Source organism: Homo sapiens, chromosome 3 (assembly GCF_000001405.40).
Source record: "Homo sapiens chromosome 3, GRCh38.p14 Primary Assembly".
Taxonomy (NCBI): domain Eukaryota; kingdom Metazoa; phylum Chordata; class Mammalia; order Primates; family Hominidae; genus Homo; species Homo sapiens.
In genome coordinates this window covers 177,518,757-177,546,123 of record NC_000003.12, presented here as the reverse complement: position 1 = coordinate 177,546,123, position 27,367 = coordinate 177,518,757, and the positions used below count along the sequence as shown (strand labels likewise).

Sequence of the window (27,367 nt, the reverse complement as noted above, 5' to 3'; positions counted from 1 at the left end):
TTAGAGTTGGAACATAAAATGAATCCCATATGTCAAATGTGACTTAGGCCAGAAAAAAAAATGGTGGGAATCTAACCTCTTTTTTTTTTTTTTTTTTGAGACAGAGTTTCCACTTTTGTTGCCCAGGCTGGAGTGCAATGGTGTGATCTTGGCTCACCACAACCTCTGCCTCCCGGGTTCAAGTGATTCTATTGTCTCAGCCTCCCAAATAGCTGGAATTACAGGCATGCGCCACCCTGCCTGGCTGATTTTGTATTTTTAGTAGAGACAGGGTTTCTTCATGTTGGTGAGGCTGGTCTCGATCTCCCCGCCTCAGGTGATCCGCCCACCTCGGCCTATCCAGGATGCTGGGATTACAGGCATGAGCCATCACGCTGGGCCCTAACCTGACTCTATGTCTGAAGGCAGGTGGAAGCATGGGACGAACAGTACATTGAGAATCAGGCAACCAGGAATCCATTTCTGTGACTGATCAAGTTACCAAAATTTTCCTGGCCTCGGCTTCCTCATTTGTAAAAAAAGAATTTCATTAATTCCATGGCCTCTGGGCTAAGAATTTCTCTCTGTAATGTTAAGACTTTAAAGAAAAAAATAATTTATCTGGTATCTTCCAATTCTACAGGACTGTGTTTCTATGAACCCATACTAAAGGGTTTCCTTTAGACAGGAAAGAGCAAAAATAGCTATGCTGACAGGATCAAATGAGGCCACGAATTTAAAAATATTTTGCTAGTTGTAATGTGTTCTAGAAAAGAGAAGGGAAATGATTTTATGGTTATTATTTGTCATGATCATCTCATCTTCTAACCTCTTCCTTACTGTAGTCACAGGGCAACTGGATCTCTGTTCAGGGTAGGGGTGGCAAGAGCTCATGATGAGGATTTTCCTGTTGTCCCATTAAACAAACAAGGCTGGGTCCAGTGGCTTATGCCTGTAATCCCAACATTTTGGGAGGCTGAGGCGGGCAGGTCACCTGAGGTCAGGAATTCGAGACCAGTCTGGCCAATATGGTGAAAGCCCATCTCTAATAAAAATACAAAAAAATTACCCAGTCATGGTGGCAGACTCCTGTAGTCCCAGCTACTATGGAGGCTGCGGTGGGAGGATTGCTTGAACCCAGGAGGTAAAGGTTGCAGTGAGCAAAGATGGCGCCACTGCACTCCAGCCTAGGCAACGAGAAAGAACAACTCCGTCTCAGAAAAAGACCAAGCAAACAGGAGAAAATTTAGGAAGTCTAATCACCACACTAGAGTGTTGGTACCAGAAAATAAGTTTAAATTTAAGAAGGATGTAGGAGCTTGGCAAATACCTTAAGCCCTTTAAACATCCACTTATGTATCCCCAAATTGTAGAAACACTTACATCTCATTTTTAAGAAGGCCCAGCTGAATAAAGAGAATAATTAACTATGTTATTATGGGGATTCTCTACAACTTACCTAAAACATTTAATCTAATGCCTGCCACATTATGAGTAGTATACAACTGGCAATGGCCATGAATGTTATTAAAGTGGTGACTTCATCAATTGTCTTGTAAACCATCTGAAGAAAGGCCTAGCATAAGGGGGACGACATCCATGGTCTAGAAAAGGGCAGCCAAAGGGGCTGACCCAGGCCTCCAGGCACTGGGGAGTCGGGTGCCCAGGGTAGAAGGGGCGGCCATTTGGCTTTCCCTGCCTGGATCAGTACCAGTGAATCCATCTCACCCACCAAATGGATTGTTGTTGCTTTTGCTCCCTTGCAGGGATGCTTTGCCCAGGGTAACAGGGATTTGGCTTGGTTAGTACAGCTGCTCCTGGTGAGAGTTTGTAGGTGTCCAGCTCGCAACCACACTGACTCTGAGGGCACTGACAACTTTGGAGTTTAGACTTGCCACTTCCATGTAATTGGTCCTACACCAGGGTGGTGCCTGCACCAGGACGGTGCTACCACCTCCATGCAGCAAGCAGGCATCCCTCAGGAGAGGGCTGTAAGATTTCATTTACATGACAGTCTAGAAAAAGCAAAACTATAGGCACAAGAAATAGGCCAGTGTTGCCAGAGGCTGACATCGGAGAAGGGGATGGACTGCAAAGGGGCATGAGAGGACTTATGGGGGTGATAGAAATTGTTATAGGCTCAATTTTGTCCGCCCCTGCAACCCCACCTCAATTCATGTGTTGAAGCCCTAACCCCCAGTAGTTCAGAATGGGACTGTATTTGGAGATAGGATCTTTAAAGAGATAATTGAGTTAAAATGAGGTCTGTAGGTGGGCCTAACACAATCTGACTGGTATCCTTATGAGAGGAGGAAACCTGGACAGAGAGACACCATATATGTGCACACACAGAGGAAAGACTAAGTGAAGACACAGCCAAGAAGGGAGGCCACAGGAGAAACCGAGCCTGCCTGCAACTTAATCTTGGACACTCCAGCCTCCAGAACTGTGAGAAAATAAATTTCTGTAGTCTAAGCCACACCGTTTGGGGTACTTTGTTATGGCAGCCCTAGCAAACTAATACAGGAAAATCCTATACTTTGATTATGATCAATTATGAAATCAATTGTTTACCTTTGTCAAAGCTAAAAATTGTAGGCCTACAGAGGGTGACTTTCACCATATATAAACTATTCGTCATTAAACCTGACTTTTAAAAAGTGCTATCAGTCTTTTATTATTATTATTATTATTTTTTGAGACAGAGTCTTACTCTGTTGCCCAGGCTGAAGTGCAGTGGCCTGATCTTGGTTCACGCCAACCTCTGCCTCCTGGGTTCAAGTGATTCTATTGCTTCAGCCTCCTGAGTAGCTGGGACTACAGGCGTGCACCCCCACACCAGGCTAATTTTTGTATTTTTAGTAGAGTCAGGGTTTCACCATGTTGACCAGGCTGGTTTCGAACTCCTGGCCTCAGGTGATCTGCCTGTCTTCCAAAGTGCTGTGCCTAGAGGTATGAGCCACCACATTCAGCTTACCAGTCATATTTTTAAAGTTTGGCATCATAGTAAATAATAATGATAGCAATAACAATATCTCTGTGAAGAATTTTCTGAATATAATGGAAAATTCACAATTAAGTTAAATAATAAGCAAATATTATTCTTAAACTTTTATTTTGCTTAATTTTTCAAATGCAACAGTTTTACAAAGATGGTAATTATGATATAATGCAATCTCCATTGTAATGTTCTTCTGTATAAGTAATTTGTGTATGAGCATTTGCTGGCTTAAAAAAGATATAATCATCCTGAAAGCTATGTAGCTAAGGTACTCTCTATTAATATCAATATTAACTGTCAACCTGTAGTCTTATTTACTTGAAGTTTCTTAATTGTTTTGTTTATAAAATTAACTACATTCATAATCCCCATTCATAATTGCAATATTGTACTCTTGCAATAATAAACATACTTTTTTATGTATTTTAAATTTTAAATGGACAGAGAATTTCAATATATAAAGCATATTACATATAGAATGTTTTTACCTGTATTTTAATGTAATTATTCAGATGGGCATGCTTTGTTCCTCTTACTAATTTTTTATGCCAATTATGCATGATGATAAATAATACGATCAGGCTGTCATTGATCATCTCAGGTTCAGAGATACCATCAATAACGCAGAAGTGGGACATTTGTTTACTCAGCCTTTAAAGGCTATGGCCAAAACTAAAGCCAAATAGAGAGTTTGGCCAAATACTGTACAAAGATTGAAGCAAAATTTCAGTGCATTTCTATATGAAATGAATAGAAACAAAATGAATTGAACTACAGCATAAGTTAATGAGACTAAAGATAAACAGTGAATCTGTAAATGCAAGAGGACATACTTCATCATTTTTTTAGATGAGAAAAAGCACCGACATTATAAGTGTGTATTTCTCATTCTTTGAAACAGAAGTGTAAATACACATGCTCCAGGAATGATCACTGCTGTAATCCTAAACACCTAGTCTTCCAATACAAAAATTCAGCCTCCCATGTGTAACTGACCCTTGCCTTGACAGATTTCTGAAACTATAGTTCAGAAACTATTGCAACCAGAGTTGCTAGGGAGTAACTTTGCCCTTTCCTGCCTAGTGATTTCTTTGGGGGAACAACTCATAATTTACAAGATATTTTCAGCAAGGCAGCCCGGCCTGCAGGACTGGGACCCTTCCTGAGCCCACCTGTAACTTCATGACAAATGCTTTAATAATCTGCCTGTTTGCTGCTTCTCGCCCTTCAGTGCTTTGCTCTAAAGACATTTGTTTTTTAAATCTATCTGAGGAAAAAGCCCTGGATAATGCAGCTTTTTCCATGATTCTCTCCACGGCCTGCCCACAGGTCAGTATTCAAGATGCCAGTGCCTCAGAGCCTAATTATTAGATGACATATTTCCTCCCGAGGCGGCACAAGCTGTTTCTTCCTTTCATAAGGTAAAAATGTGTGGACTAATCCATAATCAAACAAGGAGGGAAAATCTCTACTTAGCATAAGCACAGTCCAGAACAAAAGTTCTAACACCAATTAGTAACAATATGAATTTAAATCAGAATAGCCAATTTGCCAGTATGAAAATCCCAACCAGGAAAATGTTTCTTCCTTTTCTACAATAACAGCCCCCTCATGTACAAATAGTAGAGTGCCAGAGAGTTAGAGATCCTCTATTGGTATTTTAAAATTCTTCTATGCATAGCCATTGTCTTCATTGCAGCAACCAACCAGGGTGTTGCTGGGCAGGAGAATGTGCAAAATTATCCCAGCAGGTCATCTAATAGTGAACATGACTATGATATGGGGGCTAGCTGGAACAGCCATAAAGCTAAGATAGTACTCAGTAGAAAGAGCAGGGGGATCGGCCAGGCATGGTGGCTCATGCCTGTAATCCCAGCACATTGGGAGCCCAAGGCAGGTGGATCACCTGAGTTCGGGGGTTTGAGACCACCAGCCTGGCCAACATAGTGAAACCCCGTCTCTACTAAAAATACCTAAATTAGCTGGGTGTGGTGGTGTGCATCTCTGGTCCCAGCTACTCAGGAGGCTGAGGCAGGAGAATCGCTTGAACCCAGAAGGTGGAGGTTGCAGTGAGCCGAGATTGCACCATTGCACTCCAAACTGGGTGAGAAGAGCGAAACTCTGTCTCCAAAAAAATGAAAGAAAGAAAGAGAAGGAAAGAAAGAAAGAAAGAAAGAAAGAAAGAAAGAAAGAAAGAAGAGAGAGAAGAGAAAGAAGAGAAGAGAAGAGAAGGATTCATGAAGTTCTAGTCCACCTCTTCCTCAACACAGCTGTGAGGCAAGGAGCAAGTCATTTGCCCTTTCTGAGCCTCAGTTTCCTCATTGTAAAATGGCAAAAGTAATATGTGAAATGTCTTGGGAATTAAAGTGCCACTCAAATGTAGGAGATGATTAGTAACAGAATCATAGGACAGTTTTCCATTGAGCCCAAAGGTACGAGCAGCACAGTCCCTACCTAATTTGGTGCTATGGTGCAGCTATGGCTAAGAGTCGATGCAAATGGAACCCTCATGGGTGTTACCAACTGTATCCTCGCAAGAGTAGTTTTCGTCTCCCTGCACCTTAGGCCTTCAGAAATGAGTTTTTCCAAATATTGTTTGAAATCACAGAAAGAATTCACAACCAGAGTATATATACCTGCTTCTTTGAATAAGTGCTTCTTCTCTTACAAGCACTGAATCTAAGATCTGAGGCTAAAGATGGGTGAAACTCTTCCTCATACTCTCTAGGGATAAAGTAGTGGCATTCTTCATGTAAAATGGACTCTCTCCATTGGCCCCATGTAGTATAATGTTCAGATTTACAAATTTGTATTTTATTCCCTCCAATGAATGCATAGCAATATATAATACAGATAGATCCAGTTAAAGACACTTTCAGACCCTGAGTGACTGAGTTTAAAAAGTCAAACACAGAAATTAGACAAATGATATATGTGAAGTAAAGAGAATTTGGAAGCATTGATCAACAAAGAGGATATATTAAATATAGAGATGAAGAAAAGTAACTTGAACTGAATGAAAGAACAATGAAAATGTTACACAACATTTTAAAAGAGGCACCAATGACAAACATTGGTTGAGTAAATAATTATCTTAGGGAAAAAGTCAGGAGAGCACCTTAATTAAATTACTTAATTTAATTAAAGAGTTTCATTAACTTATTAAAACCTTCAAAAATCCATGGGTTTCCTCTAACAAAGCCTGCTGAAGCCCACTGTGGGCGGGATGCTGTGCTCTCAGTGGAAGGGTAATGCCAGAGAAGAAGATGGAGGAGAACTGGGTTTGAGCCCCAGTGTTATCCTTTGCTGCAGGACTTTAAGCAAGGTGCTCAGCTTCTCTGGGTCTGGTTTCTACAACTGCAAGATGTGTGATTAGACTAGATTAAAAGTAGCAAACTGGAGATCAAAAGGCTGCTCTCCAAATGAACCATAACAAAAACATTTTGGAAACTACATAAAAATCAAGACTGCTGGATTTTCCTGAAAAGTTAGAGTAGCCCCTCACTTTGGTTAGCCTTACTGTACGCAATAATAGGCTGGAGCTGATTGTCTTTCTGCCAGGGGAAAGTATAGTTCCCTAGTGGTATGTGGAGTCAGCAAATGTCTGCTTACACAATTACACTTTGCCCTGCTTCACTCACTTAAATTACCTGCCCGGGCCTGGGAGCATTTACATTTGTACCACTGAATAGCTGTTCTCCATCATCCCATTTGGTCTTCAGACTCCATAATCCTTTAAAGCTCTGCACCTGGAATGAAAAATCCAGCACAGTGAATTCTCGTCTTACTCTCTAATTTCAATCATCCCACCAGTTGGAGAAAAGCACTTAGAGATTTGGATCTAGAAACTGAAACGTATGTACTGATGGTCTGAAAACTCTTTAAAAAATAAACTAACCACCTTCCACCCCTCACGTGTCACTGTGGTATTTACTTTAGCTTCCTGTTCATCCGCTTTGCTTCCTGTCCAAGTTGATTTCTGCTTTACAGTCAAATGTACAAAGACTTTCCATAGTAATCAATTTCAAAGCATAACATTAATCTTTTTCACTTGAACCAAACACTTCAGAAACCTAAAATGCTAACTTAATGAGAATAATACCTGGATGCCAAAGATGGAACCCTTGAAGCTTTTTAAACAACTAAAGGATTTCCTGCAAACACTAAATCTTGTCTCTTACCCCTTTTTAAACCACTTCCATAAAAGGAAATATATTCTATTTTGACCAGACCGAGCACAAACACAAGGTTAAAAATGTTTGCCTGACACTTTTCAATACCCCTGCTTTGAATGCAGCAGTTTGTTTTGCTGCCGTATTTCTTTCAAATGATGTGCTTTGTGAGAATTCTAGATTCATCAAAATACCTATAAGCAAAGTTTTTAGTAGAAAGCGTTAGCTAGCTGCTTGCATGCTTTTGAATGTGAGAGATTTTCCCATATGTTGCCATATCATTTAGATTATATCTAAGTGATGCCAAAAAACTGGAGGAAAAGAGGGAGATTCTATTATCTATGTTTTATCTGCAAGTCACCAAACAGATAGCTGTTTCAGATCACCCAGCTGTGTGGCAACATATAGCTAAAACATCTGGGTGATTAGCTGAATTACTCATTTTCATCAAGACATTTTGTTCTCCTATAGACAATATCTGAGCTGTACACATGGATGTGTACAGTATATGCGTGTGTTTACCTATGTACATGTGTCCCTAAGATGACAAATTTAAGCAATTGTTTTAGACACAAAATGCAGGGTGAGATCTCCCTTCATCTCCTGCTGGACGATTCTAACAACCAATGGCTCTTTTCCATCTATGCCTGCCAACCCTGAATCAGGCCAAGGAGCAAAGCTGGGAGGTCAACCCAGGCAAAGCCAGCAGAAAAGGGCTGTACTTCCCTTCTTTGCAATCCCAAGCCAAGAATTGCTGACCCTGAGTGTGCACACAAATTGCTGGTAGATGAGGCATTGGGGAATGCAGCAGGGGCGGGAAGAATCACAAAATAATAGAAAGCTACTATTTAAAATGTGCATATTCGGTACAAGGCTCTAGGCTAAATGTCTTTACCTGCATTGTCCCATTTGATTCTCACAATAACTCTTTAAGGCAAGAACTATTATTCTCACTCTCCTACTTTTTTTTCTTTGGTTTTTTGGTGGTGTTTGTTTGTGTTTTTTTGTTTTTTTTTTTTTTTTTTTTTACAAATGAGGAGACTCAGAAAAGTTAAGTAACAAGCAAGTGTCTGTATTTGAAGGCAAGTTTGTCTGACTTCCAAACACACCTCTTAGTAATGCAACTACACTGCTTAGTCTGGGTTGCAGGTGGCCACCCTCCTCAAAGTGACACTGGAGCACTTTCAAAGCATGTCATCCCAGGCTGAGATGATAGTCCTGGTTAAGCTCCCTCCCCACAAGATTATAAAGTAGAGTAATGGTGACAACTGCCCCTGTGCTGATCCAAAGCTTCACTACTGAAACCTTAGTTAATTCCCTAAAATCTTTGAGCAGGGTTCGGGAGGAAGAGGGAACCAAAGTTACGCAGTCTTCACAATAAAAATACATGCCATTTGAATCACTAAAGTGGGCAAGGTATAATTTATACTGTTATATTTCAAGCTGACTAGTTCCTGTATTTTCTAACAAGTCCAGTCTCAAACATTCTCTCTCTCATTGTCAATCTATCTATTTTGATTTGGGGTTTATAAAATTAGACTGCTGAACTCCCATGGTAGACTGTGACCTCATCTACCATCTTGGTATGTTACAGTTATTTGAGTTATGGATGGCTGCAATTATTTTATTAAATATATGCTCACTATAGCACTTTTAATATATGGCCATTAAATATTGTGCTTAAGGGGACACTTCTCCCGGAAAAAAAAAATGCATGTTTTTTATTCTTGGAATCTGGGCAGGAATGATATATCACATCATGGTACCATGAGGCAAACAATAGAAGATATTGAACACAGAAAACTTTTGAAACTAAACAAGCAAATAATTGTCATCCCAATTATTTCATTATGGCTGACAATAGAATGACACAAAAGACTGAGTGAGTGGCTCCCAGAATGGCATGACAATCATAAAAGACTCAAGACACAAAGAGACAGCAGAATTCATACAATATGCAGTGTACAGTAAAACCTTGTTATTCTGATCACAGATCTTTTTCCCCGAGTAGTATGTAATTCAAAACAATTCCCACTCCTCAACTGCCTAGACAGTCTTATTGTTAGTTTATTAAAATACGAGCTCATTTTAACCTGGCTAATTCAAGTCAAATTTTGCCAGCCCCTTACATGGTAACTAATGAGATTTTACTTCAACTCTGTTTCATCTCCTGGCCTCTGACTACTCCCAAATTAGTTTCACAAATGCAATTGTGCAGAGTAAAAGAAAACCACCATACTGAATGGTAATAACACATGTGGAAAAATATATGTTGAATAGCTGTTCTTTCATGACTTTCTGAGTTCTCTGCCCTTTTTAAAATTTCCCTTATGTTTATATATTAAACTATAATCTGAATGTACTCAAAGCATGTGATTTATAGAAAAAGAGAAGGAAAGAGAGGAAGAGAGATTTAAAGTTTTTCACTGCTAAGAAAAACCATTAGTATCTAATAATAATAATATATCATAATAATGCAATGTATTGGCACTGACTACATGCAAAAAAATTTTAAATATTTTATAGAGTCTTCACAGTAACCATAAATTCAGTACTATAAGCCTTCTTTTGTTGATGAAGAGAGGCACAGAAAGGTTAAGCAACTTGCCCCAGGCCATGAAGTTGTAAGTGGCCAGCGGCTGGACTCAGGGTGAACAGCAATTTAGGCCTCTGGTTAGGAGGACAAAGATGAGGCTGGCCAAGTCCACATGCTGAGCTCCATCTTCCTTCCTCCCACCTTCACTTGACTCTCCCAGCACCACCACCATCACAGGCCACGGAAAAGCTGAACCTCTAGATGACCTGTTTCATCCTCAATTTCCCGTACCCCAAAACATTAGAGAATTCCCAAATCCCCAAACAATAATGATCCCTTTTCCAGCCAGCACTTCAAGAACAGGAGAGAAGGGGCAAGCCCCCCTGAGTTCTGAGTCCCGCAGGTACCTCGGCCCCTCACTGCCAGCAGCCAGGGAATTTGTATTCTATTGGGCTGGTTGTTTCCAGCTGTCACAGTCTGCTCTAAAACCTGTGTTTGTTCTACTGCTAAGAATTTCAATGCCACCCCAATAACCCTTTTCCTCAGCATAATTTGGATAGGACACAAACTGTCAACACTACATGCCTGGGTTATTCCATGAGCATAGTGGATGCTCCGGTACCTGTTCATATTTCTCTCACCAGGTCAACATGCCCAGCTCCCAGCTTCTGTGGCTGTGGTCTGCAAAAGGCACACAGCTGTATCCATTGCAGAAGAATTGCATCCTGCCTAATGGGCCTGCCTCACCTTGGAAGTTAGGCCAGTGGCCAATGACTGACTACCTCAGACACAAAGCTGACCCCTTGCATTAAAGGGCCACCAACTTGATGGTGCAATTTGCTATCCAAAGCTCCCTAGAAGTCCAAGATAACGCTAGGCTCCAGCCGAAAACGCATCCTTCTTACCCTTCTTCCCCTGACCTCGTACTTCCCTCACTCCCCTTCTCCTGTGGGCACCTGCTTAATGAATCATGTATACCAGACTCCTGTCTCAGGCTCTGCTTCTAGAAACTAAGACAATCTCAATGCTCTCCCAAACCCAGGACTGTTCATTTCAGTCCTATCCTCTGACTCCAGAACATCCTTCCTCTAAGAACTTCCACTACTCTCAGGATCCTACATCATCTTCCTTCTATCTAGAAACTCCTCAGCTAACTCACTCCAAACTTTATACAGCTGTCATGGGGTATTTTCAATCACCATATAATGTTTTTCCTACCTATAGAAGTAGAAAATATTCATAACCTATAATCATTTTCCTGAGCAAGTTATGTCAAAGATTTTGTTCTGTCAAGGTAGTAGCAGATTGTACATGAGGAACAGTGAATACATTTTTGTTTTGGGAGCCTTCTGCATCACTTTATCTTTTTAACAGCATTGAAGAGTAGGCCTTCTCCAGATAAGATTGCCTGGCCCAGGACAATTACCCAGTGAGGATTAAGATCAATCTCTGGGTTAGACTGTGAACAAAATTTTGTCATCAAGTCATAATCTCTGCTTTCTTGGTCCTGAGATCAGGGCACCCTTCCAATTGTGGGAACACAGAAACGTGACATTTCTTTGAGTGGTTAACTGTAGATGCTCATACATGTCTGTATACAAGCCCATACACACACACACATATGCACATGTCCTTCTGGCCCAACATAAACAAATAGCTCCAGATTGGAAAGAGATGAGAGCTGGCAAGGGTCGGATGGCTTGGACACCGGGAAATTTTCCAGGTTCAAGCGGAAGGGCTGAAAAGAAATGCATTTCAGGCCGAGGCGGGTGGATCACGAGGTCAGGAGATCGAGACCATCCTGGCTAACACGGTGAAACCCCGTCTCTACTAAAAATACAAAAAAAATTAGCCGGGCGAGGTGGCGGGCCCCTGTAGTCCCAGCTACTCGGGAGGCTGAGGCAGGAGAATGGCGTGAACCCCGGGGGGCGGAGCCTGCAGTGAGCCGAGATCGCGCCACTGCATTCCAGCCTGGGCGACAGCGAGACTCCGTCTCAAAAAAAAAAAAAAAAAAAACCGGAAATGCATTTCCTAAGTAAGGGTTGAATATTGCACTGATTGGGAATTAAAAGTTTACATGAAGCCCAGCCTCTTGCTGCAGTGAAAACTCCATCCCATTGCCATGAAAAGTCTCATGGTCTAGTGAAAAGAAGGGAAATCAAACTTACGATACAGATCCTAAAATATAAAATTTTTGTTTTAAACGTATTTCTTGTTTTACAAATTCCCTTGTACATGCTTCCCATTTATCTCTGAGTGTAAGCACTGTCCTGTTGTCTCCTTGTTAAACAAAAGGCTGAGCTGCAATAGAAAATACAAAAGCTTGTTTGTGACCTTGGGCAAGTCATTCTCTCTCTGAGTCTCATTCGTCCTCATCATAAAAACAAGACACTGGACCAGGTTGATCTAAGGTCTTATTCTTTCTAACATCTCATGAAGTCTATTGGAAGCACAATAGTATAGGCCTAAGAGTAGGATACTGAGGTGAATTGCCTGGATTTAAATCACAGATTTACAACTTACAGTTTATGTCTTTGGATACATTGTTTACTAAACCTCAGATTCATAATTTTTTAAATGGGGATAAAATGAGTACCTCCCTCATTGGGTTGGGGTGAGGATTTAATGACATATATACAGAATATGCTTAGAATTATTCCTGGCACATAGTGAATAGTCAGTAAATGTTAACAGTATTCATCCTCACTAGTATACACCAAAAGAACTTACCAGATTGATTTATCCACTAGAATACATTGAATTTATCCACTAGAATACATCCAATATTGTTGTCCCCAAATACGACAACATTAACTCTTATTTTTTAGGAGCCATGGGCTACGCAGTGTTTAAGAAATTATCTAAATTATCTCATTCAAACCTCATCAAAACCATATGGGGTTGAAAAATTATTCCCTCGTACCATTTTAGAGATGAGGAAACTGAGGGACAAAGAGGCTCAGCAACTTGCTCATGGGCACACAGAATTCATTTTTTAATATTTCACAACTGGCTCTCCAGGAAAAAAAAAAAAAAAGGCCTAATGCATTGGTTGTGCCATTTTCCTTGGTGTAGATACTTTTGCTTGCCATAGCTTCTTTTTTTTTTTTTCTTTTCGTTTTTTTCCCCCAAGGCAGGGTCTTGCTCTGTCACCCAGGCTGGAGTACAGTGGTGTGATGGTGGCTCACTGCAGCCTCAACCTCCTAGACTCAAGGGATCCTCCTGTCTTAGCCTCCCAAGTAGTTGGAACTACAGGTACAGGCCACCATGCCCAGCTAATTCTTTGACTTTTTGTAGAGACAAGGTCTCCCTATGTTGCCCAGGCCGGTGTTGAAATACGGGGCTTTGGGCGATCCTCCAGCCTCCGCCACCCAAAGTGCTGGAATTACAGACATGAGCCACCACACCCAGCCCACCATGGCCAATTTTAAGCTCCCAATGTAGCATCACTGAATGCAGAGCTGGGGAGAGATGAGCACAGCTGACACTCAGAAGCCACGTGCTCCAGGACACAGTTAAAATGTTGTGGAATAAGGCCAGGCGTGGTGGCTCACGCCTGTAATCCCAGCACTTTGGGAGACGAAGGTGGGTGGATCTCGAGGTCAGGAGATCAAGACCATCCTGGCTAGCACAGTGAAACTCCATCTCTACTAAAAATACAAAAAATTAGCTGGGTGTGGTGGCGGGCGCCTGTAGTCCCAGCTACTCGGGAGGCTGAGGCAGGAGAATGGCGTGAACCCGGGAGGCAGAGCTTGTGGTGAGCCCAGATGGTGCCACTGCACTCCAGCCTGGGAGACGGAGCAAGACTCCTTCTCAAAAAAAAAAAAAAAAAATGTTGCGGAATAAGCAGTCAACTAAGAGAAACACTGTATTTCTTAACAACATGTACGTACATGTCTTTCTCCTCCTCCTGCTCCACACTACTTTAGAATGTAAAGCAAATTGCACACATGTATTAGTTAGGGTTCTCTAGAGGGACAGAACTAATAGGAGATATATATGTATGGGAATATATGTATGGGAATTTATTACGTATTAACTTGCATGATCACAAGGTCCCACAATAGGCTGTCTGCAGGCTGAGGAGCAAGGAGAGCCAGTCCAAGTCCCAAAACTGAAGAACTTGGAGTCTGATGTTCCAGGGCAGGAAGCATCCAGCATGGGAGAAAGATGTAGGCCGGAAGGCTAGGCCACTGTCTCTTTTTCACGTTCTTTCTGCCTGCTTTATATTCACTGGCGGCCAATTAAATTGTGCCCATCGGATTAAGGGTGGGTCTGCCTTTCCCAGCCCACTGACTCACATGTTCATCTCCTTTGGCAACACCCTCACAGACACACCCAAGATCAATACTTTGTATCCTTCAGTCCAATCAAGTTGACACTCAGTGTTAACCATCACAATACATATTCCTTACAAAGCACCTAATTTAAAAAATTCAAAACTCAGGTTTTGTTGTGTTAGCCTGAACCGAGGTCTGAGCTACATTTTTAACTATACATCCACTTTCCTTTTGTTAGTGGAAAAGAACAATTGTTTCACTTCAAACAGACTTATATGTGACTTATTTTTGTTATCTACTTCTGTGCATACTACCATTAATAGTGTAATTTATTTGTAAGATATAGTAAACATAATGTTTTTTAAAAAAATAGATTTTTCTCTTCATTTGCAAATTTAACCTGGTCTTCAACAATTTATAAATTCACTGGTTGGTTGGTATGCTTAATAATGTTTAGATTGCACAATTGCTATATATGATGAAAAATGTATATTCTATATTCTTTTTTATTGAGCATCTTACGCAAATTAATGTTTCTCAGTTGAAATTGTTGATTCATTCCTGCTAGCTTATTAATAACACATTACCAGATGTTTCTAAATCTCTCCATGTGATCCCAATTCTTGATCGAGTCTGACATACAGAATTTCACCCTAAGAGCCTTTCTTTCTATTCTTAATTTAGAATATGCATTGCATTGCATTAGCAATTTTAAAGTTTACTGTAAGAATAAATAAATAAGAAGATTCTCAGTGTCTAATCCTTTGTGATGGCCAAAATACCATTTTGTGTACCATAAAGCAGCTATTCTAATGTAGTCACAGGTAACATGCTGGTAGCAGGCAAGCAGTAAAAGCGGAGCTGTGCATTCCCCCAAACCACCAAGAGATCTATTCTGCCTCCAAGAATCTCTGATTTTCAGCTGTATGGCGTTGGCCAAGGTATGAGCTGAGGAAGCACTCCCTAAGCAATCTCTGTCAGCACTAAGGAAGGCCAAGTCCAGGGCCCAGGAGGCCTGTGGTGCACTAGCCATCTCCTTCTCAGCTCTGCAAGTCCGGGAAAACAAAAGGCAACATTGGAATAGAAGTAAAGGCTGACTTTGGCACTTCCCTTTTTTGTATTATTTCAGTACTGAATGCCTCTCTCAGAGGCTTCAACCTTCAAGAACCTTGAGCAAATTAATTCAGGCCTAGTGCTAATCTTTTAAGCTCCCGATGTTATCCCTGACCCCAACACGAAATGTCTTCCTTTTAAATGAGAACTGCAGAGAAAATGCTGTAATTGGCCCAAAGAGGAGGCTGTCCAAAGGTGGAATTCCAGAAACTGTTACACCAGGAAGGTTCTGAGGGGACATATCTCCCACAGCCCTCTACCCACTTAAAGCGCCAACTCCAACCAATCCCTCCACTCCCTGTGCCTTGGCCCCTCACCTTTACATAATCCCCAAACGGTAATTCTCCATTCACCAGCAGTAACACTGTTACCTTCCTTCAGTAGGGAATAGTGTCAGTTTCAGTCTATAAACACAATATTTTGAGAAGCTATTCCAAATATGTCATATTAAAAGAGCCCTAAAAAATACCTTTACATTGACTCTTTTTTCTCTTCTACCACTAATATTAATAGCTGATATTTATCAAGTTATCCCCAGGGGACAGCCTAAGTTCTAAATAGTTTATATACCTTAGTGGATTCATCCTCATTTCCCCCTTATGAGGCAAGTACTCTTATTCCTTTCTTACATTAAAGGAAACCGAGGCACAGATAGGGAAAGTTACTAACCAGGCATCCACAGCTGACATGTGGCAGGGCTCTGGCAGTCTGGCTTTGGCCACATGACACTGCTTTTTGCTGGCAGCAAGTGAGATCAGCTCTGCGACCCCTTCTAGATCCTCCCTATGCCTGTTCCCACTCTGACACGGAGTCCCAGACTCAGGTTCGAACACAAAGCCGTCTCTAATAGCTTGATGCCAGAAACTTTGATTGTAATAATCAGCCTTCTCTTGTGTTCGCAGGACACAGAACCAGATGTTCCCCACTCAGTGGTAAAAAATTGTTGAATATTTTTTATAAGGCCAACTTGTTTCTCAAAAAAAAAAAAAAAAAGAAGCAAATTGGAAGAAGGTGGTTTGGGCTCAGCTTCATTATAAAACTAGGTTGCATCAGGAGGCCTGTGTCTATTTCTGCTTAAGCAGTTATTTCTCTGGGGCTTTGGAAGAGCCTTGTCCTTCCTGAGACTGAGTTCTCTTCCAGTGGAAAATGCAGGCAAAACACTGCTATCAGGTTATCTTTAAAAAATTCTGTGGAGATGTTGGCTGCTTATATACATTTCACAATCACTACTCAGCATTGCTTTTACTATTAATATCCAAATGCAAGGGGAACATTTGAGAAAGAATATAGTTTGACAGCCTATTTAAAGAAGGTGAAAATGTAGAAATTGAAGATTTTCCAGATAATCCCACTTTCTAAACAATATTTTATAAATAGAGATGAATACAGAAAGATTCATTTTTCCATAAACAGACACTTATTACTGAGCTACTTAAGACACCAATTGCTAATCCAGTTATTTAACAAATATATATTGATGGCCAGTCGTATACCAAGAATGAGTTGGTGCTATGTATTTTAACCATGCCTGTTGCAAAGTCTACTAAACACTTACTTTTGTACTAGACACAGTATTAAGCACTGTATATAGATTATCTTATTTAATTCTCACAAGCAAGTTTCTGACTCCAACTGTTAGTCCCATTTTACAGATAAAGAAACTGAGGAGGGTGAGTCACTTGCCTCGGGTTATGTGGCTGATAATTTGGTAGAGCTAAGGTTCAGGTTCAGAGTTATCTGACCACATAGCCCCAAATTCTAAATCATTGTGCTTTATTATCCTCTAGGAGGGAAGAAAAGAAAGGTAAGTGAGAGGTACTTTCCACTCTCAAACAGCTTACTGGTTAATAGAGAGATAATACATATTCAGAAATGACTATAATGCAAGGCAGAGTGTAGGCTGTCAATCAAGAGAGGAAGACACTGTCATCCAATGAAGCTCAGAAGAAGAAAATGAGTCTGGCTAGAGGGATCACAGCCAGCTTCATGGAGGAAGTGGTATTTAAACTGAGCCATAAGGAATTTTAACCAAGTCCCTTGAAGAGAGTATCCCAGTAAGAAGTCATGGTTGATACCGAGGCTCAGATGTGCAGAAACCCAGAAGGAAAGTCCATAAAGTTGACTCACAAGAACCTTAGAGAAGCAGTAAGAAACAAAACTAAGCCATGCTCAACACTTTATAATAGGTACTCAAAAACATGTAAAATAAATGAATTAATTCAGGAACAACGAGTAGAGAACAGACTTTGGAAGCCCTTGAATGTTACCATAAGAGATTGGATATTCTTCTGTAAGCAGTGCAAAATGATTCAGTGTAAAACTATCAAGAGAGGGATCCATTCTGATCTTTACATTAACCAGGAAGTTAGTCAAAGGGCAGCTTAGCTTGTAGAGAGCCTGGAGTACAGAAGGCTAATAAGTAATTCAGGAAGAAGATGAAGGCTCAGATAAAGGTAGTGGCTATTGAGGTAGGGCAAGGGTATGGATTGCAAAGAGCTATGCCCAGAGGTAAAACCCCCTGTCCTTAAAACCCCACCTTCTCCACCTCATCTGGAGGCAGTAGAAAAATCTTACAGTGATTCAAATCCCACTGGGTGTAAATAGTACCTCAAAGGGAGAGGAAAAACAATTAATAACCACCCTAACATTTGGTCTTATATGATTAACCACTGAATTATCCCAAACATCTGCCTGGAAGTTCCCAAATATCCACCTGTTTGGCCAAGTTAAAGACCAGACACCTGAACTGTGGGCTGGGTTTTTGGTGCTAAGGGCTTTGTGGTCTGATAGACAAAAGCAAGACCTCCATTTTCAAATTGCTTCAAAGTAACTTTTCATAGGTCATTGCCATCAATTCCAACTTTTTGCCTGGATCAGTGTTCTACCTGATCTAGTGTGAGGTTCTACCTCACACTAGAGTCTAAACCTAAGAGTGTTGAGGATATTCTCTGAATTCTGCAGGGAAAAAAAAAAGAAGTATTATCAGGCCTGGCCCTTTATCCTACAGTTTCATAGTTGGGAATGTCTTCACTGCATCTGATCCCTCATTCTGGTAGCAGTGGCAAATCCATACAGGTCTGCAGCAACTTGATCCTTGCCTCCTTGGAGGAAAGAATTCGGCCAAGGGGCATAAGGCAGAGGGAGAGACCTAGACAAGTTTTTGAACAGGAGTGAACATTTATTAAAAAGTTATAGAGCAGAAACAAAAGGAAGTAAAGTACACTTGGAAGAGGGCCAAGAGGGCGACTGAGAGATCCAAGTGTCTCATCTAGCCCTTGACTTGGGTTCTACACATTGACTGGTTCTGAAGTTTGCATTTCTTCTCCCCTGATTCTTCTCTTTAAGTGGGCTGTCCACATGTGCAGTGGCCTGCCAGCACTTGGGAGGAGCTGCATGTGCAGTGTGTTTACTGAAGTTGTGTATATGCTCATTTGAGGCACTTTTCCCTTACCCGTCAAGCGTTCTTAAAGGAAGGTCATACGCCAGTTAAACTCTGCCGTTTTGCCTCTTAGCGTGCATGCCTGAGCCCATTTGCCCAACTCCTGAGATCTTATTGGGAAGCTGCTGATCACCAGCTTCAGCTGTTTTCTATCTATTGGGAGCCGGCCTGTCCCTGGCACCAGCTGCAACCAATTACTGTTTTAGAGAGACAGTTTAACAACAGCCTGGCCATCACCTGATGGTCGCCTGACATTCCTGGGGCCAAGCGGGGGCTTCTCCTGCCCTGCTCATGTCTGCTTAAGTACCTACTCTAAAAATTCCAAGTTGCAGCAAAAGAATCCCAGCAACATATTTCATATTGAGACATTAGCGACAGCAGCACTGTGACCAAGTAATGGGGCTGGAGGGGACCAAAAAATAAGAGCCTCCCTTCTGCCCTATTCTTCCCAGAATAGAGAGAATCGGGAAGACTGTGGACCACATGTCTCCAGTTCCATTTTCCTGAGCTTACACCTTTCAATAAGCCCACTCCACCCTGGGGTAGAGGAAGAAGGCTGGGTAAGTTCCTTCCAAACTTTCCTCTTCCGGAGCGTTAATGGTCTCTCTCTCTCAGATGTAACTTACATGAGCATTTATTGACAGAAATTATGTCCACGTGTTTTGTTAAATGAAGATTGTTTCAAAGTGTTGGGTAGTGCTTAACTCTTATAAGTAGGATTAGGAGTGTTTTTAATCTTCTCATTCCTTACCTGTACTTTCTAATATTTATAATTCAAATAATAAAAAATGGCTTTTATAACAAGAAAAAAGCAATTTTTAATTTTACAAATTGTAAAAGTAACAATGAAAAATATATTGACACAGCTGAGTAATCTCAAGGCTTTACGGAATAATAATTTTATGGCAACACCATGGTTTGCCAAAAGACGCAGCTGAGACTGTCTGGCATGTTTTCCCAGCCTGAGGCTCCCCACTCCTGATGCCATCCATTCTTCTTTCCTGCCATCAGCGCCCACAAATATGACACGTGGGATCCTCAACAGATAACCAATTTTCCCTTAGCAGGAACAGCCAGCAAAACAGAAATACTGTCTCCATCCTCTTTTCTCCTACGTTTGTCCTCTTCTGTCCAGACTATCTGGAAACCAGACAACACTCACCAACCCCATCAAAACTGTGCCCAGGCTGCTGACCACAGAGACCACTTCCTCATCGCGGAGATGCCTGAAGTCCAGTAACCTTTTCTTTGGCCAAATTACAAGGTTCCTTAGAAGTAAACTTTCCTAACAACATGCTGATCTTTCCTCTAATGATCAGTCTAAATACTACCTTCCTCATGTCATTTATAAGTGCTCCATAGGAGAACGGGGCACTGAAAAGGGCTTGATCTAACCACACCTCAACCGTCTCCTCCCTGTGTTTACTCTGCCAGTTCAACTGCAAAGAAATAAGCTAACAAACAGAATCTCTTTCAAGGCTCTTGTGTCCTTTGTAAGCAAGTCAGTCACGAATGGAATGCATCTCAAATTTAATTTACTGATGGCATGTATTAGAATGAGGTCAGAATGTGATTTTTCAAAATGTTAAATCATTTTGTCTATTTTCCACACTAAAGCATCTTTTCAACCATTATATTCACTTAAAATTATGTTATGTAACTATTCTCTTTAAATACCAAGAGTAATTATTATAACTTTTAAAAAGGTAGAATACGGACCTATAATTTTTTCTTATAATAGGCCATTTCTAAAAGAAAGCAAAGTGATTTGTGTGTCACACAGATAGAGAGTGTACCTTTTAGGATTGAAATGGAGCTGTGAAAAGAAAAAGAAAAACCAGGCTATGTACCACCACTAATCCTTCTTATTTTCATTCTTGGTTGGGGAAGGGGGTGAAAGAGGAGCAGCTAGGCATCAGTTCAAGTTTAGCTCCTGGCTCAGAAATAGGGCAACAGGATGGGGAGACCTAAAGCCACCAAAAGAAGATCCAGGGTGCTCTGAACACAACTTCCTCAGATGCCCATCCCAAACACAGTGCTAAATTTCATCTTCTCATAGCCTACTATGCTTATTTCTGTCTGTGGTTTTGGCTTCACTCTACAGAGTAAGGCAACTGCATCATCTTCACATACGGTTGTGAACTGTAGGCTCATCTTTGTCTTAATCTCTTGATAAATAAAATAAAATAAAAGCAAAAAAAGAATATACTCTTCCTGTTAATCTTGGCTAGGAGCACAACAGTTGATTATCTCACTTTCAGTGTGGGCAATCTGGGTATAGATGGTATTTAATGAATGGCAGCCACCATCATATGGAAAGCATGATGGTCCTCAAGAACAGGCTTATGGTCAGAGGTGGAATGCATGGACGGCTAACTCACATGCCTATGGAGGTCTAGTAGGTGACTTAAAGAGTGAGGCAAACTAAGGCTGAAACACAGGGAGGGATGGGGGAAGGGAGAGACCACACATCCCCACCAGAAGTCAACAGGTGATGGTGATCACACGCAATTGGTTCAGTGCTGGCAAATCTCCTGATTTCTGCAAAACTGAGAGGCCTGTCATCTTTCCTACATGGTTAAAGATAAGAATCAGATTCACAGGAACACTCTCAGGGTAGTTGAGTGTCTTCAGAACAGGGATGCCACTTACCAAAGGAAGGGGCCACAGCCAGAAACCAGAGCTGAGTGCCCAGTAGTGCTGGAAGAGGCAACTCCAAAAACCAGAACAATATCCAAAACCTTTCGATTCCTATCCTTAAAGAGGAGCATGTTATTGGGAGGAGATGAGTTTCACGATGTATTTCAGGACAAGAGTATTTTGATATTCCTCGGATCTGATACTGCAAAAGCAACTGCTTATACAGCTGTCCTATGGCCCAACTTGAGATATAGTTCAACTCCTCTCCTCTTAGGGAAGACATCAGCTACAACTGCTTCAAAAAAGAATACCCAGAACAATTGGAGAAACAGAAGGATCTCCATATAAACAAAATAATAAATTTAATGCAAGTCTCTTTGATCCTGGAAAGGCCCAATTAAAAAAGGCCTCAAACATCTATATTGTGTAAATTCAATAATATGCATTATTGACACTAAACTAATGTCAAACTTCTGCTCCATTTTCTGCCACGTACACCCAGCCATCCTGCCACGTACACCCAGCCATCCTGCCACTAAACCATTAAGGCAGTTGTTGAGAGAGAAGGATCCAATCAGACCTTTTTCTTCCCGTGCAATGATGATGCAATTCTTAATATTCTAAGAGCTGAAGTCATATAAACAGCCTGCTTTTTCAAAAGTGTCATCTGAGCTCCTTCCGTTTGCCAGGCCTTAGACACTAAAAAAAAACAAAGATGGATAGGGCAAAGTCCACTGCTTGGCAGTCAAACAGATAAAAAACTAACCATTTGACCATGTGAGAGGAAGCATATGTATGAACAAAATGCTACAGTATATGAGTGTGGGAGTCCCTAATTCTTCCTGGGAGGTAGAGAAAGGGACATTTGAGCTAGGCTTTACATGATTGTGAAATATAGGAAGGGTTGTTCCAGAACACGACACCTCGTCTGGAATTTCTTATTCATAAAACCCAATATCTGGTTACCAGGTGATTACCAAGTAAACTTTTTGTTTGATGTGGTTTCACCTTGGGTTTTCTTTTTGTTTTGCTTTGTTTTGACTTTGTTTTTATGAAGAGCACCTGAGAAATTTATAAATTCTCTTTTACTAAGTCCTATATTGCCCTTGAGTTTAGGGTCAAATTATAAATGTTTCTCATCTCTTTTCCTAGCTACTGACTTTCTTTAAATAGGATCCCATAAAGTGACACAATGACATTTCATAACAAACTCAATGCATAAAACTGCTGAAGTGTTTGAAAAATATAAAAGCTTTATGACAATACATATCAAATGATACAGAATATGAAAAGTCCTGGAACATTAGTGGGACTGACTAGAAATAAATCTATCTTAAATTAACCTCAGTTTTATAGAAGTGGAAACAGCAATTATATAGAGGAAAATTTTCAAAACCAATAGTTTTTATGTTATTACATTGATGTCCCAACACCATGGATGGCTCATTGTCATTCGATGACTGTACCAGCCTATTTCATTCTTGAGACCTTAATTATGGTATTTCCCAGGAGGTGAACTATGGGTGAAAAATCATGAGCTTTTTGTAACACAACAAACCAGACCAAAAAAAGAAAATCTGAGACTGTGAAAAATGAGAAAACACATCACGTGTCTTCCAATTTATCATGCCACATGCCTTCAAGATAATTATCATTTGTCATTTTGGCTTATACGTGAAAAAATCTGATAAAAGATAGGCAAAATTAAATCAAATGCTTTTAGCAGGAACTTAATGAATTCCCCCCACTAATGTTTACATTGCTAGGCTATCTATTTGTAGATCATCTGTCATTAGTTTCCAAAGGGTTCTATTTTCTGATATGATACTTACAGTTTGTTATGAATCAGCTAATTATACAATAACCTTTACCAGCAGCAAAACCAGAATTACATGGATTTCAGGACAGTTATTTCTAATCCCCATTTTAAATTACATCTGTCTCTTAAGTCAGGAGAAAAGAGGCAGTTGGAAAACAAGCCACCTACAGCTAAAGCCAATCGATGGATTTGTTTTGTTGGACAAGTTAATGGGAGCCGCAAACAGGAGATCTGTATTTTCATAAACTAAATGCTATGTATAAACACACTCTTATCATTCCTAGTTAATGGTACAACTTGGTAAAGACTCACTATTTTTGCCTGATGACTTGCTTATGACATACAGAAATCATCTCCAGTAGGTTCCAAAATAGTCTTAGTGGAAAGGGACAGGCAGGCAGATATGTGTGAATAAATAACCCACCTGCATGTTTGTCCTTGTTCAAATGGGTTCAAAGGCTTATTTTGTTTATTTTTCATTGAGTGTAAGGAGTCTAATAATAGCCTCTGACAAAATAATAATATATTGAATGATAAAATATCTCCCCACTCCTTTCCTTTTCCTAGGTCTTCTGTCCCTGTTCTCTACCTGACTACCATTACAATATTTAGCATATTCCTGATTCCCAGAATATGAGATGAATGCAGGTCAATCGATATTGAAAGGTGGGTGGAGTGGGGAGAACAGCTTCCTTTTCCCCATCACTTGTTAGCATATGGGGAAAAAAGATATACTTTGCAATGTTTGGTGGATGGGCCATGTGGGTTAGCCCACACATCGGTTTGTGAACTGATTGTTCCCATCAGATGAGTCAGTAGAGATGGGAATGTTAATTTCTTCAGGGGACATTTATCAATGTGGTTCTGAAAGAACAGTGCAGCATTCTTTACCGGCAAGCTCCATGACAGGGAGAGCACTCACTGTGATCTTCACCAGGTGATTTTCCATGGCCAATTGGCCTTTCACTCACTATCACTCAACTGCATCATACAGCACAATCGGTCTGTGAATGCTAATAATTGAAAGCAGGTTGGCCAAATACAAACATTTACGTGTTCTGATCTAGAGTTTCAGGACCCACCCTGGAAGGGATCCTATGGAGCTGAGATCACTTTGGAGCACTATCCTAATTTTCTTTACCTGTGGTTCCTTCACGTTTCCTTCACTCAATTACCCCTTTTAGCAAAGAGCATGTAGTGGCAACAAACCACTCAGATAGACTTCACAAACCTCAGAGTCATGGAAAGGAGAAGGACTTCTTCTAAATCCCTCCTAGATCCTTCTTTCAATCAGGCTTTTTCCTGATTCAAGGAGAAGGGAAAAAACATTTATTTTCTATATATTAATACCTAGCAACCAGATTGCTAAGCAGATTAACTTTCAGATCTCCTAAGTGCTGATCCATTCTGAAGTGATGAAGAGAAGTGTTAGAAAGTGGGAGGCAAGGCCAAATCTCTGGGCTTTTAAGATTTTGAGAATAGCCTGTGAAAACAGAGCTCTCCCCTCCATCACCAGGTAAGCTACCAGATGACACTCCTCACCAACTACCCACCAACACAGAGGGAGAAAAAGCAAACTTTTTGGAGTGAAGATGAGTGTCCATTATGTCAAGAACCTCAAGGGAAACCGGTTCTGCAACTCAGGGGTCCCATCCCCCTGCCTGTAAGGAACCGGCTGCACAGCACAAGGTGAGCGGCGGTTGAGCGAGCTCTACTGTCTGAGCTCCACCTGCTGTCAGATAGGCGGCAGCATTAGATTCTCATAGGAGCACGCACCTTATTGTGAATTGCGCATGCTAGAGATCTAGGTTGCACACTCCTTATGAGAATCTAATGCTTGATGATGTGAGATGGAACAGTTACTTCCCAAAACCATCCCTCCCCCGTCCATGGAAAAATTGTCTCCTACAAAGCCAGTCCCTGGTGTCAAAAAGGTTGGCGACCGCTGCTCTAACTACCTTTGTATCTCACTTTTTTTCCCTTTCTGAGACAAGTTTTTGCAAGGACTTTTTTTTTTTTTGAGACGGAGTCTCGCTCTGTCGCCTAGGCTGGGGTGCAGTGGCGCAATCTCAGCTCACTGCAAGCTCCGCCTCCCAGGTTCACACCATTCTCCTGCCTCAGCCTCTGGAGTAGCTGAGACTACTGGCGCCCGCCACCGCACCCGGCTAATTTTTTGTATTTTTAGGAGAGATGGGGTTTCACGGTGTTAGCCAGGATGGTCTGAATCTCCTGACCTCGTGATCCGCCCACCTCGGCCTCCCAAAGTGCTGGGATTACAGGCATGAGCCACCACGCCCCACCGCAAGGACTTTTTAATGTTTGCTGTCTTCACCTTTATACCTCCCAAGTCAGACCACTTATTGAAATTCTTGTATTCTTGTTGGCCAGGCTGCGGTGGCTCACGCCTGTAATCCCAGCACTTTGGGAGGCTGAGGCGGGTGGATCATGAGGTCAGGAGATCAAGACCATCCTGGCTAACAGGGTGAAACCCCGTCTCTACTAAAAAAAGTATAGAAAAATTAGTTGGGTGCGGTGGCGGGCATCTGTAGTCCCAGCTACTCCAGAGGCTGAGGCAGGAGAATGGCGTGAACCCGGAACGTGGAGCTTGCAGTGAGCCAAGGTTACGCCACTGCACTCCAGCCTGGGCGACAGAGCAAGACTCCGTCTCAAAAAAAAAAAAAGAAAAAGAAAGAAAGAAATTCTTGTATTCTCATCTTTCCCCCTCACTCTACTACACTCTCTCCAACTCCTACAAAGTCCTTTGAGTCTCTGTTTGGAAGCTGCCCTTTTTTGAGATGCCTTTGCCAATCCCCATTGAAACAGGAAAAGTTCCCTTGTCCCTCTTGCAGGGTGTGCAATGGGGGTGTGACTCACTTCTTCAGTGCTCCGCTGTTCAAACTTCTAGGGGGGCATACAGACCGGCAGGCTGTAGGGCTCCGACCCCACAGCAGTGTCTAGGGGTGAATGTTTACAGCTCCTGAAGCCCCAGTGGGCATGTGTTACCAGGTGCTCTTTAGTTTCGCTCTTTTAGTTTGCCGTCTATAGGTGGCTTGTGTTAACCAGCTCAATTAGACCCTCTACCTTGTCACAAGGACAGAGGGCTTTCTGTATCCCGGGTTCTTGCCTTGGTGTACTGGAAGAATCAGATCACAACTGGGCCTGGAGAATGAGTTCAAGGTTTTATTGGGTGGAAATAGCTCTCAGCAGATGGGGGAGCCAGTAGGGAGGTGGTTTTCCCCCAGAGTCAAGTTGCTGGGTGACCCAGGCTCTCCACCCACTGCCCTGGCCAAACTCCACCTCCTTCCGTCTGCTAGCCTGCTGCATCTGTCAGTGTCTCTGCCGCAGGCGTGCTCTGCCGCAGGCGTGCTCTTCCGCTCTGCCGCAGGCGTGCTTCCCTTGGCATCCTCTCAATGTCCAGCCGCTTGTGTTCTTCGGCCAATGTGTTCCTCCCGCCGTCCAGCAGCTTCTGTCTCTGCCTTGCTAGGGTCTCCGGTTTTTATAGGCCCAGCATGGGGGCATGGCAGGCCAGGGTGGTCTTGGAAACTGCAACATTTGGCCGCCACAGCAGAAATGCTTGTCCTCACCTAGGTCCATGGGGGGGATAGAGCCCTAGCCAGGGACCACACCCTCCTCTACCCAACACTTCCCTTCCCCTCTTCCATATCATTTAAAGGGACCATGCTCTTCCCTTCCCAGCATTCCCGTATCACCATCAGCTTTACAAAAGCAGATTTTGACAACACATCAAGAACAGATTCATCTTTTAATGACAATCACACTTTAACCAAGCTCACAGAGACCAATGTCTAAATCAGAAACTCAATGTATTACAATGAAACTAAACTTCCTTTGCACCAGAGCATACTTATTGGTGTGTCCTGCCTATATAAGGAGTCAAATCTCACTCAGAAGGTTGTCTAGAGGGTGTGGAACCAGAGGGAGGCAAGAGGAGCTTCTATAAGACAATCCACATAATTCATAGCTTCTTCACCAAAGTCCTAGTCCAGCAGTGATATGGTTTGACTCTGTCTCCACCACATCTCATATCGAATTGTAATCCCCATGTGTCAGGAAAGGGGCCTGGTGGGAGGTGATTGGATCATGGGGGTGATTTCCCCCTTGCTGTTCTTATGATAGTGAGTTCTCACAAGATCTGATGATTTAAACGTATGTGGCACATTCTCTCTCTCGCTTTCTCACTCCTCCTCCACCATGGTAAGACATACCTGCTTTCCCTTCAACTTCCACCATGATTATGTTTCCTGAGACCTCCTAGCTATGCTTCCTGTATAGCCTGCAGAACTGTGAGTCAATTAAACCTCTTTTCTTCATAAATTACCCAGTCTCAGGTAGTTCTTTATAGGAGTGTGAAAACAGACTAATACAAG

General features: G+C 41.7%; 1 long non-coding RNA gene across 1 annotated transcript in view; it reads right to left on the bottom strand.

Moving 5' to 3' along the window:
* The window catches only part of LINC00578 (long intergenic non-protein coding RNA 578), a 310,784-nt gene that overhangs the window by 206,581 nt on the left and 76,836 nt on the right, over positions 1-27,367 (bottom strand). Inside the window, exon 2 of the long non-coding RNA NR_047568.1 lies at positions 6,631-6,729. This is a non-coding gene — a long non-coding RNA (long intergenic non-protein coding RNA 578). The remainder of the gene's footprint in view (positions 1-6,630; positions 6,730-27,367) is intronic.